At 36.8% G+C, this 21,028-nt stretch overlaps 1 protein-coding gene across 8 annotated transcripts in view; it reads right to left on the minus strand.

Annotated features, from left to right (window-relative positions):
• GPM6A (glycoprotein M6A) overlaps positions 1-21,028 on the minus strand; it is a 369,457-nt gene that overhangs the window by 71,298 nt on the left and 277,131 nt on the right. The window contains exon 1 of one of the 8 annotated variants that reach the window (NM_001388091.1): positions 8,325-8,336. The exons of the other annotated variants lie outside the window; for them this stretch is intronic. The gene's annotated coding sequence lies outside the window, so the exon portion shown is untranslated. Of the gene's footprint in view, positions 1-8,324; positions 8,337-21,028 lie in introns of those variants that run through there. 8 annotated transcript variants of the gene reach the window in all.

Below are 21,028 nucleotides of genomic sequence, written 5' to 3' on the forward strand. Positions count from 1 at the left end.
CACCTTCCCACTTCAGTAGCTGTTGTTTGTGCAGGCAAAATTGTTTCTTGAACATTCCTCCCCCAACACACATCTCTCTCTTTCTCTCACACACACACACACACGTGCACGTGTGCACGCCCCCCCACCCCACACACACACAATGTGGGGAAGTAGAAAAGGTTAGAACAGCTTGAAATTTCATGTAATAGGAAGAGATTTCACCAGCAGATGGCTAAAAACAATGTGTGTAGTGTCTGAATGTCACTGAACACAGTTTTGGGTGGAGATTAACAGGGCAGCAGAAAAATCTTTCAACTATTCTGTCTCTTGATGTTCTACAATTTCCACCTCACTGATTATTTAAAAATAATAATCATAAAAAAATTAGTGCCAGCCCAATGTAGAGCTATCCCTATTTTTGGCAAGTATACCACATAGCCTCATGATTTTAAATCCTATTCATCTGTGATTTCTGTCTTTCACTGTTCTCGAAGGATTTGATGTGGTTGTGGGAGATTTCTACTGCAGACAATCAGAAGTATGAAAACCAGATAGATGAACATGTTTCACAAAACTGTTCAAGGTAGAATAAGTTCATATATGAAGAGTTCAAACACTGAATGCATAGGTGGGAATTGCCTTTGCTGGATCCTAGAGCCTAAAGTTAATAACTGAGCAAAGACAAAATCAGAATCAGGATAGCTCAGGAGCAGATAAAGTGGTAAGCTCATGACTGATCACCAAAACCACTTCTGGGGACTTCTGATTAATTTAAGTATTAATTCAGGGTCGGTTTCACTTATTTCTCATTTTCTCCACTCTACTTTAAATGGACCAGTTCTAGCCTCCACACTATGCTCTACAGCTGCAAGGGGGATACTGGAGTTCTGCATCAGAGCATCAAGTATAAATTCAACTGAGTAGTGGCTTTCAAATTTAGAAAGAAAAGCCCGAGATAAATTCCAAAATTGGGTCAACCCAAATTGACAACTCTGAGATAACGTGCATTTCCAAATGAGTGTAAGGTCTTTTTACTCTATGTAAACAGTATTATTTAAATCTCTCAGAATCATATTACCTTTATGGCAAATACAAATTCCTCTAAACTTGCACTACTGTGAAGTTAAGCTAAAATCTTTTGACTTAAGACCTGATCATCCGTCAAACTTCTATTCAAAGGAAGAAACCTTAAGTATTTCATCACACACATTTCGCACTTGTAACGGGCTAGATCCTAACTATCCCCACTCTTCCACAGAGCCCGAGTTGCCTATTCGTTTTAAAAGAAGACTCTCAGAACTCCCATCTGGGGAAGCAGCGCATTATTTCAGTATTCTCTCCAGCTGCCAGGATCCCACGTAGTTGCTGGCAGGGGAGCTTCTTTCCACCCACAGAGAGGAACAGCCTTGGCAGAGCAGCAGAGTTGTCATAGCAACCCTGCCCCTGGGCCCCGGATAGGTTCCCAACAATCACCCTTTAAGGCTGCGGATCTTGCTGCCCCCAGTACCACGTTTTCACTGAACTGCAAATGAAAAGCCACTGTATTAAATGAATATTAGTGAAGGCATAGGAAGTGGAGTGCTGGTGCTGGAGAAGATATTTTTTTCTTGAGAAACTCTCCAGTAAAATGATAAAGATTACTTTGAACAGGAAACATTTTCAATACTAGATATTATAATAAAAATAGGCCCATTAATTCTCAAATAGAACAGATGGCTCAAATAGGGAATACTGAATTTACATGTTCTAGTCACTACCTATATACACAAAGAGGTATTTCTCACATCCATTTTCTGGTTATACTTTCCAAAATGAAATAATACTGTGCCTTCAGCTTTAACATGAAAACAAATATTAAAAGAATTATGAGATGTTCAACACACCCTCTGAAACATTAGCATTTGCCCAAAGATTAGTGAAGTTATAGATTGACTTGTACTAATACAAGAAATAACTTCAAAATTTCAAAGAAAATAGAAGAAATAGAAAAAGAAAATAGAAGAAATAGAAAAAGAAAATAGAAGCTGTGAAGATATGTTATCTTTAAAAAAAGATACTGACATTTTTAAAAAGACATTGATTAATTTATTTCCATTTAAACATTGTGAAGTCAAATACATGCCTTTGCTTTTGCTCACTCCACAAACTGCATCAAAACAAATAAAGGGAAAAGAACCTAAACCAATAAGAAAAAGACCAGGAGAGACAGACAACAAAGAAGAGAGGCCAACAAAATTGTGGATTCTGGAAAAGTGATTGACAGGAGAGGTTGAGAAGTGAGATTTACAATAGACTGACAATTGACTCATTGATAAATTTTTCCTAATATTATTTACCAGGCGGCTGATTGCTCTTCTCCTGACCTACGTCATTTTTGTCATTATCAAGTGTCCAGAGAGGTATAGGTCTGTTTGAGGGCTGTCTATTCTGTCCCATTAGTCTGTCTATCACTGTGTCAGAGGTGTTTAAACCAAAGCAACTCCATCTTGAATAGGGGCTGGGTGAAATAAGGCTGAGACCTGCTGGGCTGCATATGCAGTGGGTTAGGTATTCTAAGTCACAGGATGAGAGAGTAGGTCAGCATAAGATACAGGTCATGAAGACCTTGCTGATAAAACAGGGTGTAGTAAAGAAGCCAGCTAAAACCCAAAAACCAAGATTGCAACTAGAGTGACCTCTGGTCATCCTCATGGGTCATTATATGCTAATTATAATGCATTAGCATGCTATAAGGCACTCCCACCAGTGCTATGACAGTTTACAAATGCCATGGCAAAGTCATGAGGTTACCCTACATGGTCTAAAAAGGGGAGGAACCATCAGTTCCAAAAATTGCTCCCCCCTTTCCCCAAAAACTCATGAATTATCCACTCCTTGTTTAGCATATAATCAAGAAGTAACAGTAAGAATCCTTGGTAAAGCAGCTCAAGCTGCTGCTCTGTCTATGGAATAGCCATTCTTTATCCCTTTACTTTCTTAATAAACTTCCTTTCACCTTGCTCTATGGGCTTGCCCTGAACTTCTTCTTGCTCAAGTTCCAAGAACCCTCTCTTGGGGTCTGGATGGGGACCCCTTTCCAGTAACAGTTGGGCCAATACCACACTGCCTTATAGTATGTTTTGATTTGTGGAGGAAATTGCCTCAGCCAATGCATTTTCTTCATGAATGTCATGGCTATTCATTGCCCTTCTACTTTACCAATCAATTTTAAAAACAGTTTGTCTGATTACACAAATTAACTCATTGGGATTCTGATTGGTCTTTTTGCATTTGTATAAATTATTTATGTAATTTAGATATTAATTTTTTATCCACAAACTTTAAAATTCTTTCATTGATTCTGTGAATTATTTTGAGTTTGTGGATTATTTTAAATTTAAGTTGATAATCATACCACCTGTGAAAATTTTGGGCTTTATTTCTTTTTTTTTCAATATATGTGCCTTTTACTTTATCTTCTTATTGTCTTACGCTATTGGATAAAATACAGAGAGGAAATTAAAAGTAATGCGAAAAGGTATCTTTTGTGATCCTGATATTATCGATACTTATGCTTTTACCTGATACTTATGCTTTTACCATTAAGTTTGATGCTTGCGGTTGTTTTATTGGTTAAAGATGGTCTCTTGTTTTAAATTCTATCATATGCTTCCCATCTGGTAAAATAATTTTTTTTCTTCTTTTTATCTACCATTTCAATAAATTTTTCTAATGTAAGTGAAACTTGCATTCATGAGAAAAAAAATGGTGTCACTGGGTTTTTAAAAATACATCACTAAATTTGTCATGCTAACTTTGTTCAATACTTTTGCATTTATCAATGTATCCAACAGTTATTGAGCCCTTGCCAGGTGTCAGACACTATGCTAATTGCTGAGACCTTAGAAGTAAACAAAATCAATGAAAATCTCTGCTTTCATTGTAGAGGTGCAAGCAAGATTATAAACAAGATACTGAAGAAATATAGGTGAGATTGTGAAAAGTTCAAGGAAGGAAATCTAAACAAAGAGGTGGGGTAAGGAGTACTGGAATATCAGTTTCAATTTCTGATAAAGAGACCAGGGAAGGAATAACTGTGATGACATTTGTGAAATGGTCTGGAGGAGGTAAAGGGATCATCCAAGAGGCTATCTGGGAGAAGGTTTATTTTATTTATTTATTTATTTATTTATTTATTTATTTATTTGAGATGGAGTTTCGCTCTTGTTGCCCAGGCTGGAGTGCAATGACGCAATCTTGGCTCACTGCAACCTCCGCCTCCTGGGTTCAAGCGATTCTCCTGCCTCAGCCTCCCTAGTAGCTGGTATTACAGCTGCCCGCCACCACACCCAGCTAAATTTTTGTACTTTTAGTAGAGATGGGGTTTCACTATGCTGTCCTGGCTGGTCTCGAACTCCTGGGAGAAGGTTTCAAACAGAGGGAAACTAAATGTCAATGCCTTGAGGCAGGTATGTGTCTAGAGTATCTAAGGAAAATTTAAGAGACCAGTGGTGCCAAAATAGATTGAGATAGAGACAAAGGAACACAGGAGAGGTTAAAATATAATAGGTGAAGGTATAGGGACATCAATATGTTAATGAATGTCTTTGACAACAAATTTTTGCTTTCTTGTTTTCTAGTGAAGTTTATACCAGCCTTGTAAAGTGATCCCCTTTTTCAATGCCCTGGGAGAGTCTGCATAAAGTTGTAATTACCTGCACAGTAAATATTTGGTAGAACAACCAGTAAAACTATCCAGTCCACTTGTGTACTTTATGGGAAGAATTTAAACTACTGATCTAATACGCTGATGTTTATAGAGTGATTCAAGTATTCTATTTCTTCTTAAATCTGTTTGCTAAATTCAATTTCTGTAAGCATACGTAAACTTAATAAAATATATTCATTTTCTCATTAAGTTGTATATAACATTTTAAATAATATTTTTAATGCGTTCGTCATCTGAACGTATTTCCTTTGGTCTTCTCCAGTGATTTTAATTCTTCCTTTTTTATTTCATTCCTTCTTTCCTTCCTCCCTCTTCTCCTCCTCTCTCCTCCTTTTTTCTTTCCCTTTTCCTCCCTCTGCCCCCTTTCTCTCTCTGTCTCTCTCTCTCTCTCTACGTGGGCCTCTCTCTCTCTCTTTCCCTCTCTCTCTCTGTCTGTCTTTCTTTTCTTCCTTTCTCTCTTCTTAAAGAGCATTGGCCAGGACAACCTATGTTTTACACTCTTTGTTTGCTATTAAAATAAACAGGCTGGTCACGGTGGCTCAAGCCTGTAATCCCAGAACTTTAGGAGGCCGACGTGAGTGGATCATGAGGTCAGGCGTTCCAGACCAGCCTGGCCAACATGGTGAAACCCCATCTCTGCTAAAAATACAAAAATTAGCCGAGCGTGGTGGCGCTCACTTGTAATCCCAGCTACTCAGGAGGCTGAGGCAGGAGAATCGCTTGAACCCGGGAGGTGGAAGTTTCAGTGAGCCGAGATCATGCCATTGCACTCCAGCCTGGGTGACAGAGCAAGACTCCATCTCAAAAAAAAAAAAAAAAAAAAATTCAATGACTTAAAACATCACATTTTATTTTTCAATAAGTCTAGAATATTTCCTTCCCAGCTTCATAGTGGGGATCTCTTCCCATTATAGCCATTCAGAAGCTCAGGTTGATAAAGGAAAACCATCTTGAACACTGCTAGTCATGATATCAGAATAAAAAACACCAGGGAAATCTCACTTTGGCAATCTAGTATTCTAGACTCTAGGTAGTACATGCCATTTCTACACCAGCCTAATGGGTAGAAAGAGTCACTTGCCTCCCCTTCAAACACAAAGACCAAAAAGTGCAACTCTGCTATGTTTCCAGAAGACAGGGAGCCACAAAACTTAGCAAACAGCACTAATGACTATCATAATAAGTAAAGCTGAAGGTTTTCCAACATTATTATTCTTTTCAAATAAGCTTTTTTTGGTATGATTATTTTGTTTCATTAATTTCTATTTTTAGATTAATTTTTTTCTTTATTTTTATTTTCTTTGGGTAAATTTTCCTATATATGTTCTAATGTTTTAATGTGGAAAGATGGATGCTGAGCTCATTGCTCTTTGGACTTTTCTCTAATAAAAGTATTTAACCCTATAAAGTTACCTTCTAATTCTGATTTGAGTGAATTCCACAAGTTCTGATATGCAAACTTTTCATTCTTGTTCAGTTTTAAGTATTCTCTAAAGTTTATTGAGATCTCTTTTTGACATATAAGTCGTTTTTTTCTTGGATTATTTATTTTCGTTTTCAAATATGAAAGCTTTTTAAATCTTCTGTATGTTATCTGTTTGTATATTTATTGCATTATTGTTAGGGAATATGGTCTATAGGATGCCAATCCTCTGAAATTTATAGTGACTTCCTTTAAATTAAATCCAAGACTTGAGTTTTTCGGTTTCTGAAAGTAGCAGAAATTTTCATCACCAACTCACAGGAGAGCTGGCTTGTGGTACCAAATTCTCAGGAGACATATTTTCCCCCTCAACTCACTCAAGGTATAAAAGATGTAAATTTTCCTTTCTGCCTTACACACAACTTTTGTTACTATTATTGTTCTGTAATTTTTTGCTTTGTTTAATTTTGTTTTCCTGTCTCAGCCTTTCACAGAGTCCTTTAGAGTCCTGACCCTTATGCTGTGTGTTCCAACTTGACCTCCAGTCTCAGGCTGAACTCAGCTCTGTTTCCTAACCTGTATTACCAGGACACCCAATGTGAAGCCCAAGGAGACCAGGAATATGAAAACGACCCAGGCCCTGCTGCTGTCTGCAGTGCTTTCTTGCTTAGCTCCCTGAACTTCTCCTTTAACTTTATTGTTGGCTTCTGAGGGTTCTGCATACTCTCTTGACAGTACATCAATGTGTACATACATGTGTACATATATAAGTAATTATATTTTAATTGTACCTATATTTTAAATGAGCATATTTTAAATACACAAGCATATTTGTTTCAAAACTTCAATTGTTTGGGAACAAAAAAGGTTTTCTTGCTATTTAATCTACCATACTACTGGTAATTCACTCTTAATTAGAAAGAGACAACCACTAGGTATTTGAGGAATGCCTCCAACTTGGAAGACAGAAACAGAAATAAATAAGCAAAAAAGAAATTCCAAGAAATAAAAGATAAAGCAGGCAGCTGAAGAGAGTTTAAAAAGGGCACACTGGCACACCAAATATATATATATATATATATATATATATATATATATATATATATATATACACACACATACATACATGTATATATAAATATAATATATTTATATACTTGTATATATAAATACATATATGTATGTATATATTTATATATTTATTTAGAATATTACAAAATATATTGCATTCTAAACAAAATGGATGTATTTCTTTTTACCTAAAATAGGAATTTGAGACAGCCAAGTTAAAAGGGCTCCCCAGAGAATCCCCAGCTGTCTTGTGCATTCGGAGGATGGAGTTGGGCCTGGAGAAGTTCTCGCTAGTTTGGGTGGGGGGTGGGGAGGCTGGCCTCTTCTGTCCCTGTGTAGTAATCTGGGATTCAGTTGGTGAAGTAGAGAGCCTGTTAGCAGGACTCCATCTCACTTTGCTGAGTTGTATTTCCTTTTTCCTTTTCGCTCAATGAATTCCACTCATCACCCTTATATGTGTCTGCAAGCCTAATCTTTCCTGGTCATGTGACAAGAACAGTTTTTTCCTACAATAAATAGATGCTCTAAATAGGCAACTGCAATAAAATTAAAAGCTATTATTAAATGGAAATATAGCAGAAGTTTACATTTTCACAGTTTAAAGACACACACACACACAAAGAAATCTATGACAAAGTAGAACAAAAAGATGGAAATTGGAGAGAAAAGATAAACAACTTAGAAGATCAGACAAGGAAGAACAACCACCACAATTGAATATAATGAGATTCATCAATAAAGCAGTGAAAATGAAGATTAGCAAATTACCAAATAATTAATATAAAACGGTTTCCTAGAGTTAAGGGCATGAGTCTGTAGATTGGTAGCACTCACTGAGTTTGCTTCTGGGGCTGAATTCCTCCCTTCCTGTAGCTCTTACAGCCCCCACTACCTCCTGCTGCCCTGCGGCCACACTATGGCAGAGCCAGGAGGCCTGATGCTGGCTCGTGGTGCCCCCAGAGTGCTCCAAATTAATAAAGAAGAGCTAGAGCAATTGGGGTCATGGACAATAAGTGTCTTAGAAAAAGTCATCATCAGAGAAGGGGAACAAGAAGTGCTTTCAACTAAATTTAAAGCAAATGCTTTTATTTAGAGGACTATTTCTGAAAACTTGTAACAATTCGAAGTTAGCTTTAAGACCTTTTTGTGTCTATGGAAATATTAGTGGAGTGAGGCCAACCTGACTTTCTCTTATCCTAACACTGAGGGAAACATGTCCCTTGGGTAGAAATAAGAGAACAATTAAATCAAGACCTGACTGTAATAAGTTTATTTCACATGCTCACTCCTTTTTTCTATGCCTATGCTAGCAGCATGGGCACGGAATCACTACGTTAATATTCAGAGAATGTTTCTTGAGCACCTGTTTCTTCTACACACTGTGTATACAGAAGTGATCAAAAAATATGGTCTCTACTCTGTTTGAGCCTATATACCAGTGAGAAATAAAATTAGAAAGTTCTGGCACCTTTTAGAAAAATTCCCAAAAACATCGTAAGAAAACATCCAATATTGTGATATCTTTAGTGTCCAGTTGGTGTAGCCAGGATTGCAGTGCTCATCAGCACATCAGAATTAGTGACCGTGGGCTTGGAGTTCAAAATTATCCAAAGAATAGTAGACTAAAAAGCTCCCTGGCATAAAGTCTAACATGCCATAAAGATGAGTAAGGATATTTCAAAATTGGGCTTCTGAGGAAGGCTTTATACTGTAAAATGTTTAGCAAACACACTCTTTAATAGTTAACCCTTTAATGAATGACATGATAATCTCTATTTTTATTTTTATTTTTATTTTTATTTAAGAGGGAGTCTCACTCTGTCGCCCAGGCCGGAATGCGATGGCAGGATCTTGGCTCACTGCAACCTCTGCCTCCCGATTTCAAGCCATTCTCCTGCCTCAGCCTCCAGATTAGCTGGGACTACAGGTGCACATCACAACACCTGGCTAATTTAGTAGAGACGGGGTTTCATCATATTGGTCAGGCTGGTCTTGAACTCCTGACCTTGTGATCCGCCTGTCTCAGCCTCCCAAAGTGCTGGGATTACAGGTGTGAGCCACGGAGCCCTGCCTGATAGTCCCTATTTTTAAAGCCTTTTAGAATATAGCTCAAATAATCCTTAAATATTGTTAAATTTTTATTAACATCTTATTTAAATATGTCCTGGCCTAAAAAGAGCACAAAGTCAAAGTAAATATTTGAATCATTAAGAACACAGAGGCATTACCAAAAACAAACTCAAATGACAGGTGTTTATCTTAAACATTGTAGTCATGGCTATAATACTCTGCTTAAACAAATCAGTTACTAATTTTAAAAGAAACATCTTTAAACAGGAAAAAATTCGCAGCGTTCAAAGGCATTTTTGTATCCTCTAGTACAAAATGGAGGAGCATTTTCACTGCATTTTTTGCTGAATCTCATTATTTTTGATAGCGGTTGTTGGTTTTCCTTGTCTGATCTTCTAAGTTGCTTATCTTTTCTCTCCAATTTCCATCTTTTGTCTGTTTGTTCTACTTTGTCATAGATTTTTTTTTGTCTTTTAGTCCTTCTGTGAAAATTTAAACTTCTGCTATCATATTTGTATTTAATAATATCTTTTAATTTTTTTGGTAGTTACCTATTTGTGGATGGGTATCAAAATCACCAGGGGTGCTGTCAAAAATAGATTTTTAGATGTCCTCTGTTGAGAATCTTGTGGGTTTTTATCAAGTTCTTCAGTTCATTCTGATACTACAAGATATGCAAGCCACGCAGTATTCTATAAAATCACATTAGATGCCCTGAATCCTTTAAAAGTATTTGATAAACCAGGATATGCATGTTAATACAAAGATAAGGAATTACTCTAAGAAATTTGAACGAATGATTAAACAACATATACAGTTTATAACTATATCAACAAGAATTTTTTTAACAGTTCCAAGGCATCAGAAACAATATCAAGACTTTTTTATTTTTTTGTTTTTATTTTTATATTTTAGAGGCAGGGTTTCAGTCTGTGCCCAGGCTGGAGTGCAGTGGTGTGATCGTAGCTCACTGCAGCCTTGACCTCCAGGACTCAAGGGATACTCCTGCCTCAGCCTCCCAAAGTGTTGGGATTATAGGGGAGAGCCACCATACCTGGTCACCAAGACTTTCAATGCATTGCCTGGTGTGGTCTCCACAGCTATCATATGAAAGAGCTATAATTATAGTCAGGCAATTTCTCAAGTGGTTATTGACAGTAGATACTGCCAGAGTACATGAAAGCCTATTTATTATGAATTTTTCAGAAGAATGGTGACATTTTTATGTTTAAAATGCTATCATGAAAATGTTTATTAAGATTAATATTTAACATTCAGACCGTTTTTTTTTAAGAAATATATTACTAATTACAGAACATTCTGTACTGGTCAACATGACTTAGCAAAACTGTTTTGATTAATTAAACTTGTTCCCTAAGGCAGAGAAGTTAATTGCTTCTATTATGAGTAGAACCATACTCTTCTGACTGTGATACATAAGCCCCTAGGGTAAGGGAACAGTCAGGTGGAGACACGTTTCTGATGTAGAAAAACAATCCCTGGAAGAAAAAAAAAAAAAAAAAACTAGCTTGAATTCCATACACCTGTGGGGTTTTGATATCCCATACCCTGCTTGTTCAGATAATGTCTGGAAATCCAGTTAAAACCCTCATTTTCTCTGTAATAAATGGACTAATTAACATAAATGTTCCTCCCCTAAATGTCCACATGATTTGCTCTCTCACAATCTTCAAAACTTTGCTCAAAATACTCATTCATTCATTTCTTTCATGTGTGTGTTTGCCATTTATTGCTGCCTCACAAGCCATTCCCAAGATGTACTAGCTTAAAGCAGCAATTTATTATAATTTCCCACATCTTCATGGGTTTATTGGTCTCAGCTGGGCAGCTTTCACTCGGGATTGTTCACGCAGATGCAGCCAGAAAGTGAATAGGTCTGCGGTCATCTGAATGCTTGACTGGGTTGGATGTCCAGGATGGTTTCTTCCTTGCACGTACGGCACCTCAGCTAGCATGCCTCGAACTGCTGAGAACTTGCATAATTTTGCCACATTTTATTATCAAAGTAATCACAGGCAGCTCAGATTCAGCTGGGAGAGGGGATGGGAGGAAGAGTTGAAGACTAAATGGGAGTGGGGTAGAATCTGCAGCCATGTTTAGTCTGACACAAGCTGATCTATTTTAAAATTGAAATTTCCACCCAAATGACTGCTTTCTTTTTTTCCATAACACTTATCACCATGCAATGTACTGTTTATCTTACTATTGACTTTTTTTTTTTTTGAATCTCTTCACTAAACTATGAAAGCTACGAGGTCAAGAATTTGTATTTTCTGTCCGGGCATGGTGGCTCATACTGTAATCCCAGCACTTTGGGAGGCCAAGGCGGGCAGATAACCTGAGGTCAGGAGTTTGAGACCAGCCTGACCAACATGGAGAAACCCCATCTCTACTAAATATACAAAATTAGCTGGGTGTGGTGGCACATGCCTGTAATCACAGCTACGTGGGAGGCTGAGGCAGGAGAATAGCTTGAACCTGGGAGGAGGAGGTTGCAGTGAGCTGAGATCACACCACTGCACTCCAGACTGGGCAATAAGAGCAAAACTCCATTAAAACAAAAAAGAATTTGTATTTTGTTCATTTCTGTATGCCCATGCCCTAGCACAATATCTGACACGTAGTAGGTGCTCAGTTAATATTTGTTGAATAAATAATCCAGTTGAAAAATATGTCTCAACAACCAACTAAGACAGATCCAAAAGTGGTCATTAGCTTCAAACCCTCCACCATGTCCAGCTTGCAGAGAAATATCAGAATCATGATAATTTTCTACTTTGGGATTAAGAATGAGAAATATGGGCAATGAATGGTTAGCTACCACACAATTTTGTGTTTTCCTCCTATAACTCTTTTAAAAAGTGAGCCTATTTTTCTTTCTGAGTAACTGGTAAAGAGTGTTTATGTAGGTTTGCTGGAGAGGTAATTCAAAAGTCTTCCTGTATTATACTATAATCTTAAATTTGTAGAAGAAGAAACTTGTTGTGCACATCATACAATAGAATGCAACAAAGTAACTGGCAAACTTGGACTTGTATTGAATGTATTCATCTCTAAACTTCTGTTTTGTTAATGACACAATGTTGAAGATTATCAGTATGACTCTCCACCAAACTCAAAATAAAAACACAAACACACAAAACAACAACAGAGAAAGAGTTACAGAAGACCCTGAGACCTTCAGAACTATTAAATTCCAAACAGGGCAAGCTGAAGACATTGCCAATAAATGTAAAAATAATCAGCCTGTTAAGCAAACTAATTCAGGAAAAGAAGATAGTGTTTTTCTTAAAGGAATTTATGATCACAAGTTATTTACTAGTATTTAATAAAATTTTCCATGATTTTGAAAATAATTTGTTAAGTATTGCTCCAAAATAATGCAATTCCTGGGATATGTGTCTCATGGAAACAGATTTGTCTATATTTTATCTTATCTCACACAACATCAATTCAGCAACTGAAGGAATTATTTCAAAGTATGACCTGGAGTATGTCAGCCTCCTGCTTAAGATCTTTCCTCAACTTTCCTTTACATTAACTTACCATTATACTTTCCACACACTCCTTCTACTCTAGGATGCTGTGTGTGATCTCGCCAGCATCATTTCCCACTGCGGCCCACTTGGCTCACTGCACACCAGCTACATTGGCCACCTTTCAATTCGTTGCAAACCAGCCTTTACGCTCTTCCTGTTTCCTCTGCCTTGATGATCTGATGCTCTTCCCATGCTAGGCTCCTTCCTGCTTACAGCTTAAATATCTCTTCCTTAGAGAGAATCCCTTTACTGTCCATGAAAGAGAACACTACTTATTTTCAATATTTAACAATGACTAGTGAAAATCTGGTATTCATTGGTGGTCATGTAGAATTCTCTTGATCATAATATCCATTCAATTCCATAATTTAATCATAGAAGCTTATTTTTTAATTATGCATTTTTCTGCCTAATCTCATCACTCACAGTGACGAGACTTCACAGATTGCCAAAATTTTTGCTGCAGTTGGAATTTTATAACATTGTATGGTAGCACTGGTATAAAATGCTATTTCCACATATAGACATAGACATGAGTAATAAAAGATAAACAGTCATTACTTAAGATTGATTCTTCTTAGATAGACAACTTTTTAAAGACAATTAAAGAAGAGAGGACCAGTTGATAAGATTGGTCCTCTAGGAAAAAGTTGGAATATGCTGCATTAGACAAAAATATCTCAAACTTATGAGAATTACACAATTTAGTCTTCATGTTTTGTTCTTGGTTAATATGATAAAGAATGTATTATAATTTTTCTAATGTCTTGTGGATATCATGGAAAAGCTGTTATAATTGCCAAGAGTTTTCAGCATAAATAAGGCATTTTCTGTTGCTAAATAAGTATTATGTGTTATTTAGTGAAGCAACATGGCATATGAAGTCACTTTTTAACTTTAAACAGTATATAAAATTTTGTAAAATTGCACCAATTCAGTATAGCATAAATGTGCCCTCACGACCACAGCAATTTTAAGATGCTTTCATTATTATGGTTATTGAGAAATTTTCTTAAAACAAAAATAACAGCTGCAAAAATGGCAATAGCTTATGTTACGCCAGATATTCTGTAGATTTGTTTTTATAAAATTAGTGTTTATATGTATCTTTGCTTTTTATAATGAAATGAATTGATCTGGCTTTTAATGAGAACAGAATCCCCTACACAAGAATTAACTAATCAAAAATATTTTCATTTATATTTTACTATATTGTTACTTTAAAAACAATAAAAGAACAAGTAAAACTTTGTAAACTAATCTAGAAAAAGAAATATTTACATTAGACTGGGTGTGGTGGCTCACACCTGTAATCCCAGCACTTTGGGAGGCTGAGGTGGGAGGATCAGTTGAGGTCAGGAGTTGGAAACAAGCCTGGCCAACATGGTGAAACCCCATCTCTACTAAAAATACAAAAAATAGCTGGGTGTAATGGTGGGCACCTGTAGTCTCAGCTACTTGGGAGGCTGAGGTAGGAGAATCGCTTGAGCCCGGGAGACGGCGGTTGCAGTGAGCCGAGATTGCGCCACTGCACTCCAGCTTGGGTGACAGACTAAGACTCTGTCGAAAAAAAAATATAATGAAATATTTACATTACTACAATTAAATTGGTGAATGCTTAAACCATATGACACACACACATAAACCAGGAATGTATGAAACAGGTTTGTTCAAAGCACCAGTGTAAAAAGGCAAAGATGGGATCATCTACCAGCACACTCCACTACACGATTAAATACAAATCATTTTAACAGAATTGGAGCATACTTAAAATACAGTTGAGACATTTGAAGCCATTCTTAAAAATAAAAATATAACTTTAAAACCAAGTGACTAAAGTAACTATAAAATAAATACTGATTATGAATTCAAGTTGTGAAAGAAAAATTAGAAATTAAAAAATTCAAATTCTCTTTAAAAAGAGAACATGAATTACTTATAGACAGTTTCTTTAATTTAGTTCATAGAAACTCACTAAGACATTTGCAGATACAACCATCTTACTAAAAACATAATGATAGATTTTTAATGCAATCTGGCTTTTTAGAATTTATATATTTATTCCAAATTTAAAAAAACATTTTTTAAGAAGCACATATTTTTAAAATTCTATCTCATAGTTACTACAACATACCGAAATTGGGTATAACACAACTTTTTTTTTTTTTTTAGAAGGAGTCTCGCTCTGTCACCAGGCTGGAGTGCAGTGGCGCAATCTCAGTTCACTGCAACCTCTGCCTCCTGGGTTCAAGTGATTCTCCTGCCTCAGCCTCCCGAGTAGCTGGGACTACAGGTGTCTGCCACCATGCCTGGCTAATTTTTTGTATTTTTAGTAGAGACGGGGTTTCACCATGTTGGCCAGGATGGTCTTGATCCCTTGACCTCATATAACACAAAATTTTAAGCCATATTCTCAAATATTTCCTACATCAAAATGTTATTTCAAAATATGTATGGACTAGAGAACAAAACAAATTCTCTCCTGATAATCACAGTATGCCGTTTTGTATCATAAACATTAGCAGAATGTTCAAAATGGGTATGTAACAATTAATTTGTTACAATGTCAGAAACAAATTGCCACCATTTGTTAAAAGGAAAACTCTTCTGGAGTCCTGAAGTGCTGTCTAGAGAGCTTGAATTGTCTAAGGTACATTTGGAAATAGAGAGACAAATGGCCGTACTTCAAAGTAGATATGTCACTTCTGCAAGCAGTATCTTTTCTCAGGCATCAGAGACTTTAAAAAGCTAAAACGTATTTTTTAAATCAAAAGAATAATATTTTCCTTCTCTCTCCCTCCCTCTCTTTCATTAAAGCAGCTACTGGCATATGCTTTGCTCCCTAAGGCCAGGGAAATATTAGTTCAAAGTCCCTCATAAATCTTTTCAAATGTTATAGAAGAAACGTCGATTTTATTTGAACCAAGCATAAGCCTGTCATTTTGTTGCTTCTATTACAATCTGCCTGAGCACCCTGATAACAAAATACGGATGCACTGTTTTTTCTTACAGCAAATTCAGTCTTGACCAATTTATCCCATTGCCTAAATACTTAATGTCCTTTGCTTCTTTTGATCATATCTCATATGACTTTTAGACGGTAGAGGCTGAAAATAAAGGTTTCCAGAGAGGTTAAAAGGACTATGAACATATGATAACAGAATATGCCTTTTAGCTGTTTTTGTATTCTGCTCACCACAGGACACATCCTTAAGAGGGCTCAGCCTACATATGAAAACCTGCACTTCACATAAATCTTTTTATTTCATGTTACTAATCCCCAGAATTTTATGAATACACACAAAGCTCATTTTCAATTCCTATCAGTCACCTCTGGTGACTGTGAAGTGAAAATAAGAATACTGCAAAATAGAAGAATGTCCATGGAATATCTGAAAAGGCAGAAATGCTAAATAAAACATTAGATCTTTATTATTTCTAGAATATGCTTTACACTGAAGTACAGCACTCCTGTACTGTGGGCCACATGAGATTAATAACTAGTTCTCAAGACTAAGGAATATGTTTCATGTAGCTTTATACGTCCTGCATTTCATACAGAGTTTGGCTCATGGACACAGCACTGAAGAACCCCAATGACTGATCTTCTACTTCTATTTTCTGATGTGTTTTTATTCCTTTGGTTATCTTTTGTACAAGAAGGATAAGTCAAGTTCACCCACTAAAATGTCTACCCTTCAGTTTCAACATGATGTCCAGTCAAATTATATTGGAAAAATATATACTGAATTCACAGCAAGAGAACCAAAAGATGGATCTTGAACTGAAGAAACCTTAGAAATGTATTTCACAATGTAAAGAAAGATAGTCATTTCTGCATTTGGCTGTAACTGGTCGCTGCTGAGGTGTGATGAAAAGACTATAGAGAAAGTAATATCAGAACTGTGCTGTTTCTGTTTCATGGGTATTTTTCCAACAACTAGTAGTTACTTTAGCTTTTCTAGTATATATATATACTAGTACATATATATTATATATATATATGTACTAGTATATATATATTACTTTAGCTTTTCTAGTATATATTTCTAGTATATATATATATTTTCTATTTTTAAAAAGAATATATATATATTCTAATATATATATATATATATTTTCTATTTTTAAAAAGGCAAGATCTAGGCCAGGCACAGTGGCTCATGCCTGTAATCCCAGCACTCTGGGAGGCCAAAGTGGGCGGATCATCTGAGGTCAGGAGATCGAGACCAGCCTGGTCAACATAGTGAAACCCCGTCTTTACTAAAAATACAAAAATTAGCCGAGTGTGGTGGTGCATGCCTGTAGTCCCAGCTATTCGGGAGGCTGAGGCAGGAGAATCGCTTGAACCCAGGAGGCAGAGGTTGCAGTGAGTCGAGATCACACCACTGCACTCCAGTCTGGGTGACAGAGCGAGACTCCGTCTCAAGAAAAAAAAAAAAGCAAGATCTAATTTAACAACTTCATTAAGAGGTGGTAAGGGGCGAAGGACTGGTTTTATTATCTGTACAGCTGCTGTACAAACTTAATAGTTTAATGTTTTCCTCAAACCACTGGAAAGCCATGGGAGCTAATTCTTAAAGACACTTCTTACTACATAAATAACATTATTTGGAATTAAAATATAGAAGACAATAAATATTCTGTATTCTCGATGAAAAACTGTTGACACTTCATGTGGCTTCAATAGGTAGATAATAGGTATTCACAAGGTATATACATTTGATGGTGAGCAAATTTAGATAATTGAAAAGATTATTTTTACCCAACATCTGATAATATTCATATTAAGACTGAACTTGGAATTGAAAGTAATTGGAGTGAAAGACATTCACAGTGGTTTTAACTAATGACAGAGAAAAATGTATTCCAGTGATCTGTAGTAACTTTCACTATTTTCCTTTTGTTCTCAAGTGTGGCCAAGTTACATGCAATAATTTATAAAATTATATTATGCGCCAGGTGCAATGTCCCATGCCCATAATTCTAGAACTTTGAGAGGCTGAGGCAGGAGAATTGCTTGAGTCCAGGAGTTTGAGACCAGCCCGGGCAACAAAATAAGACCCCAATTTTACAAAAAGTACAAAAATTAGCCTGGTGCGGGGGTGTGCACTTGTAGTCCCAGCTACTTAGGAAGTTGAGGCAGGAGGATCCCTTGAGCCCAGGTATATTTTAAAGACTGCATGAGCTGTGATCTCACCACTGCACTCCAGCTGGGTGATGAGAGAGTGGAAGTCGTCCAGTGACCCTCAAACAGACCACCGAAGAGAAAAACTCCTTATCTGAGGAATTTAGAAGGGAATAAAGACCCCCTGGTCACATCTGGTTCCAGCCTCTTTCAACTTTTATAAGTAATTAAAGTTTTTATGCATCTCTGGAATGCCATGCTGAAACTCATTTTGCAATCTTAAGCTCCCGCAGTAAGATCCATAAATACCCCTAAGGAAAATCCACCACGGATCGCGGCTGCACCCTTTTGCAGCTTTCTTCCTTTCTAATAAACTTTCCTTTTTCACACCTATACTGGTGTCCATAATTTACTTTTACCAACCTGTGAGTGGACCTTTTTCCGGTGTGGGGTCTCTGACACCTCACCCGGCAGGTAACAGAGTGAGACCCTGCCTCAAAAAACATTATGTTGTGCATGATGTACAATATGTATAATTTTCTTTTTACTATTAAAACCAGCAATATGTTTAAAAATTCTTTCTTTGACCAGCCGTCGTGGCTCATACCTGTAATCCCAGCCCTTTGGGAGGCTAAGGCGGGCGAATCGCTTGAGCCCAGGAGTTCGAGGCCTGTCTGGCCAACATGGCAAAACTGTCTTTACAAAGAAATTAAAAAAAAAAAATGAGCTGGGCATGGTGGTACACACCTGTAATCCCAGCAGCTCAGAAAGCTCAAGTGGGAAGATTACTTGAGCCTGGGAGGTGGAGGCTGCAGTGAGCCATGATTGTGTCACTGCACTCCAGCCTGGGTGACAGAGACCCCGTCTAAAGTATTGAGACAAAAGGTTTGTGGTAGCTCCAATGGTTTGCTCTCATAATGAGATTCTAAATATGGCCTACACTTACTAATTTTTAGTTACAAAAGCTATATATTTTTCTAATTTTATTTTTCTTTCACTTGACAAGTCACAAGACCTGGAGTAATTTGTAATTATGACTGAATGAGCAAAATCCAGAACACAAATGTGACAGAAACAAGCTTGACCATCTCAGGACTAGGAAGCAAATGTCCCTGAGGGACTTGGATTCCATTTATCTTTGGTCCCAGAAAAAAGTTAAATAAAAGTGAACACCATTGTGTGTTAGGGTTTTCTCCCTATTTTCTCAGCATTATCCTGACTCCCATTTCAACCATTTATTTTATTTTTATTTTTATTTTTTTATTTGATTTTTAAACTCCTTAGATGTAGTTGACTAATCAAGAGGATGCCAGTTTGAAAATTCAACAGATGCTATAATACTAAAAGGCAGGCAAAAGGGTATTTCTGGGGGAGTTTGGCTAGAATGCTATATTTTCACCAAAAAGTTCCAGAAATTGAACTCATAAACTTACTGTGTTTCAATTCTTTATTACCTAAATTAAGAAACAATATGGAATGGAATGTTCATCTTACAGCCTTGTTGCATTTGAAAATTAAGAGTAATAAGGGAAGGAGCTGGTCTTATCATTTATAAAGACATATTAAGTTATACTAAATATTGAATCTTTTACCAGACAAATAAAAGATAAACTAATGGAACATTATCATCAGTTGATACATTAACCCCATAACTGTTAGGACTCTCATATTTTAAAAATTTTATTAAAAATGTATAATATATTATACTTGTCATTTGTTAATGTTATTTGTTGTTTATTACAATTAAAAATAGACCTACCATATGATCCAGCAATCTCACTACTGGGTATATACTCAAAGGAAAGGAAATCAGTATACCTATGAGATTCCTTCAGTTCCATGTTCATTATAGCATTATTCACAGCAACCAAGATATGGGATTAATCATCAAAGGATGAACAGATAAAAAGGATATGGTGTACATACACAATGGAATAGCATTCAGCCTTAAAAAAGAAGGAAATTCTGTCATTTGCAACGACATGGATGAACCTCAAGGCCACTATGTTAAGGGAAATAAGCCAGGTGCAGAAAGACAAATATCATGTGATCTTACTCATATGTGGAATGTAAAAAAGTTGAACTCGGCCAGGTGTGGTGGCTCACGCCTATAATCCCAGCACTTTGGGAGGCCAAGGCGGGCAGATCACCTGACGTCAGGAGTTCAAGACCAGCCTGGCCAACATGGTGAAACCCCGTCTCGACAAAAACACAAAAATTAGCCGGGCATGATGGTGGATGCCTGTAATCCCAGCTACTCGGGAGGCTAAGGTGGGGGGAATCGCTTGAACCCAGAAGGCGGAGGTTGCAGTAAGCCGAGACTGTGCCATTGCACTCCAGCCTGGAGGACAGAGTGAGATTCCATCTCAAAAAAAAAATTTTTTTTAACTTATAGAATCAGAGAGTAGAATGGCACTTACAGACGCTGGGGGTGGGCAGAATAGGGAGAAGCTGGTAGAAAAAATGAACTGTGCATTATATATGTTATTTGTTAATGAATAATAAATATGCATGGCAATAAAACTGAGATAGCTTGAGAGTCAGATGAGAATAGAATCAGGCCTTGAGAGAAGAGTGCTTTTCTCTAAAACCCGCAGTAGCTTCTCATTTCCTTTGGAGTAAAGACAGAATCCCTACAACAGATTGCCAAGACCGTGCATGATGTTGTCCCTCATAACTGCTCCGACCTCACCTTCTACTTCACTCTCTCTCCCTCACTCTGCCATACTCTCCTCCTTGCTGTGTCACTAACACCCACTACACACTGGCCCTTGGGCATTCTCCCTGGCGAGGCCCTCTACTGCAAACATTCTTCCCTTACATATCTCCTGAACTAACCTCTTCATTTGCCTTCAAGATTTTGCTCAAATTGTATCCTGATTACTCTACAAATTGCATCTTGCTCTACTCAGGTCCATAATGTAAACTCCGGATTCTCATTTACCTGCTCATACATAGTTGTTGCTCAATTAATATTTTATTTTAGTGATAAAATACATGTATAGTAATTAGAAGAGGATCTTGCACATAATAAGAGCTAAACAAATATAAGCTCTTATTATTAGGCCCAAAAGAATAGAGCTATA

The sequence above is a fragment of the Homo sapiens genome, chromosome 4 (genome assembly GCF_000001405.40).
Source record: "Homo sapiens chromosome 4, GRCh38.p14 Primary Assembly".
NCBI lineage: Eukaryota > Metazoa > Chordata > Mammalia > Primates > Hominidae > Homo > Homo sapiens.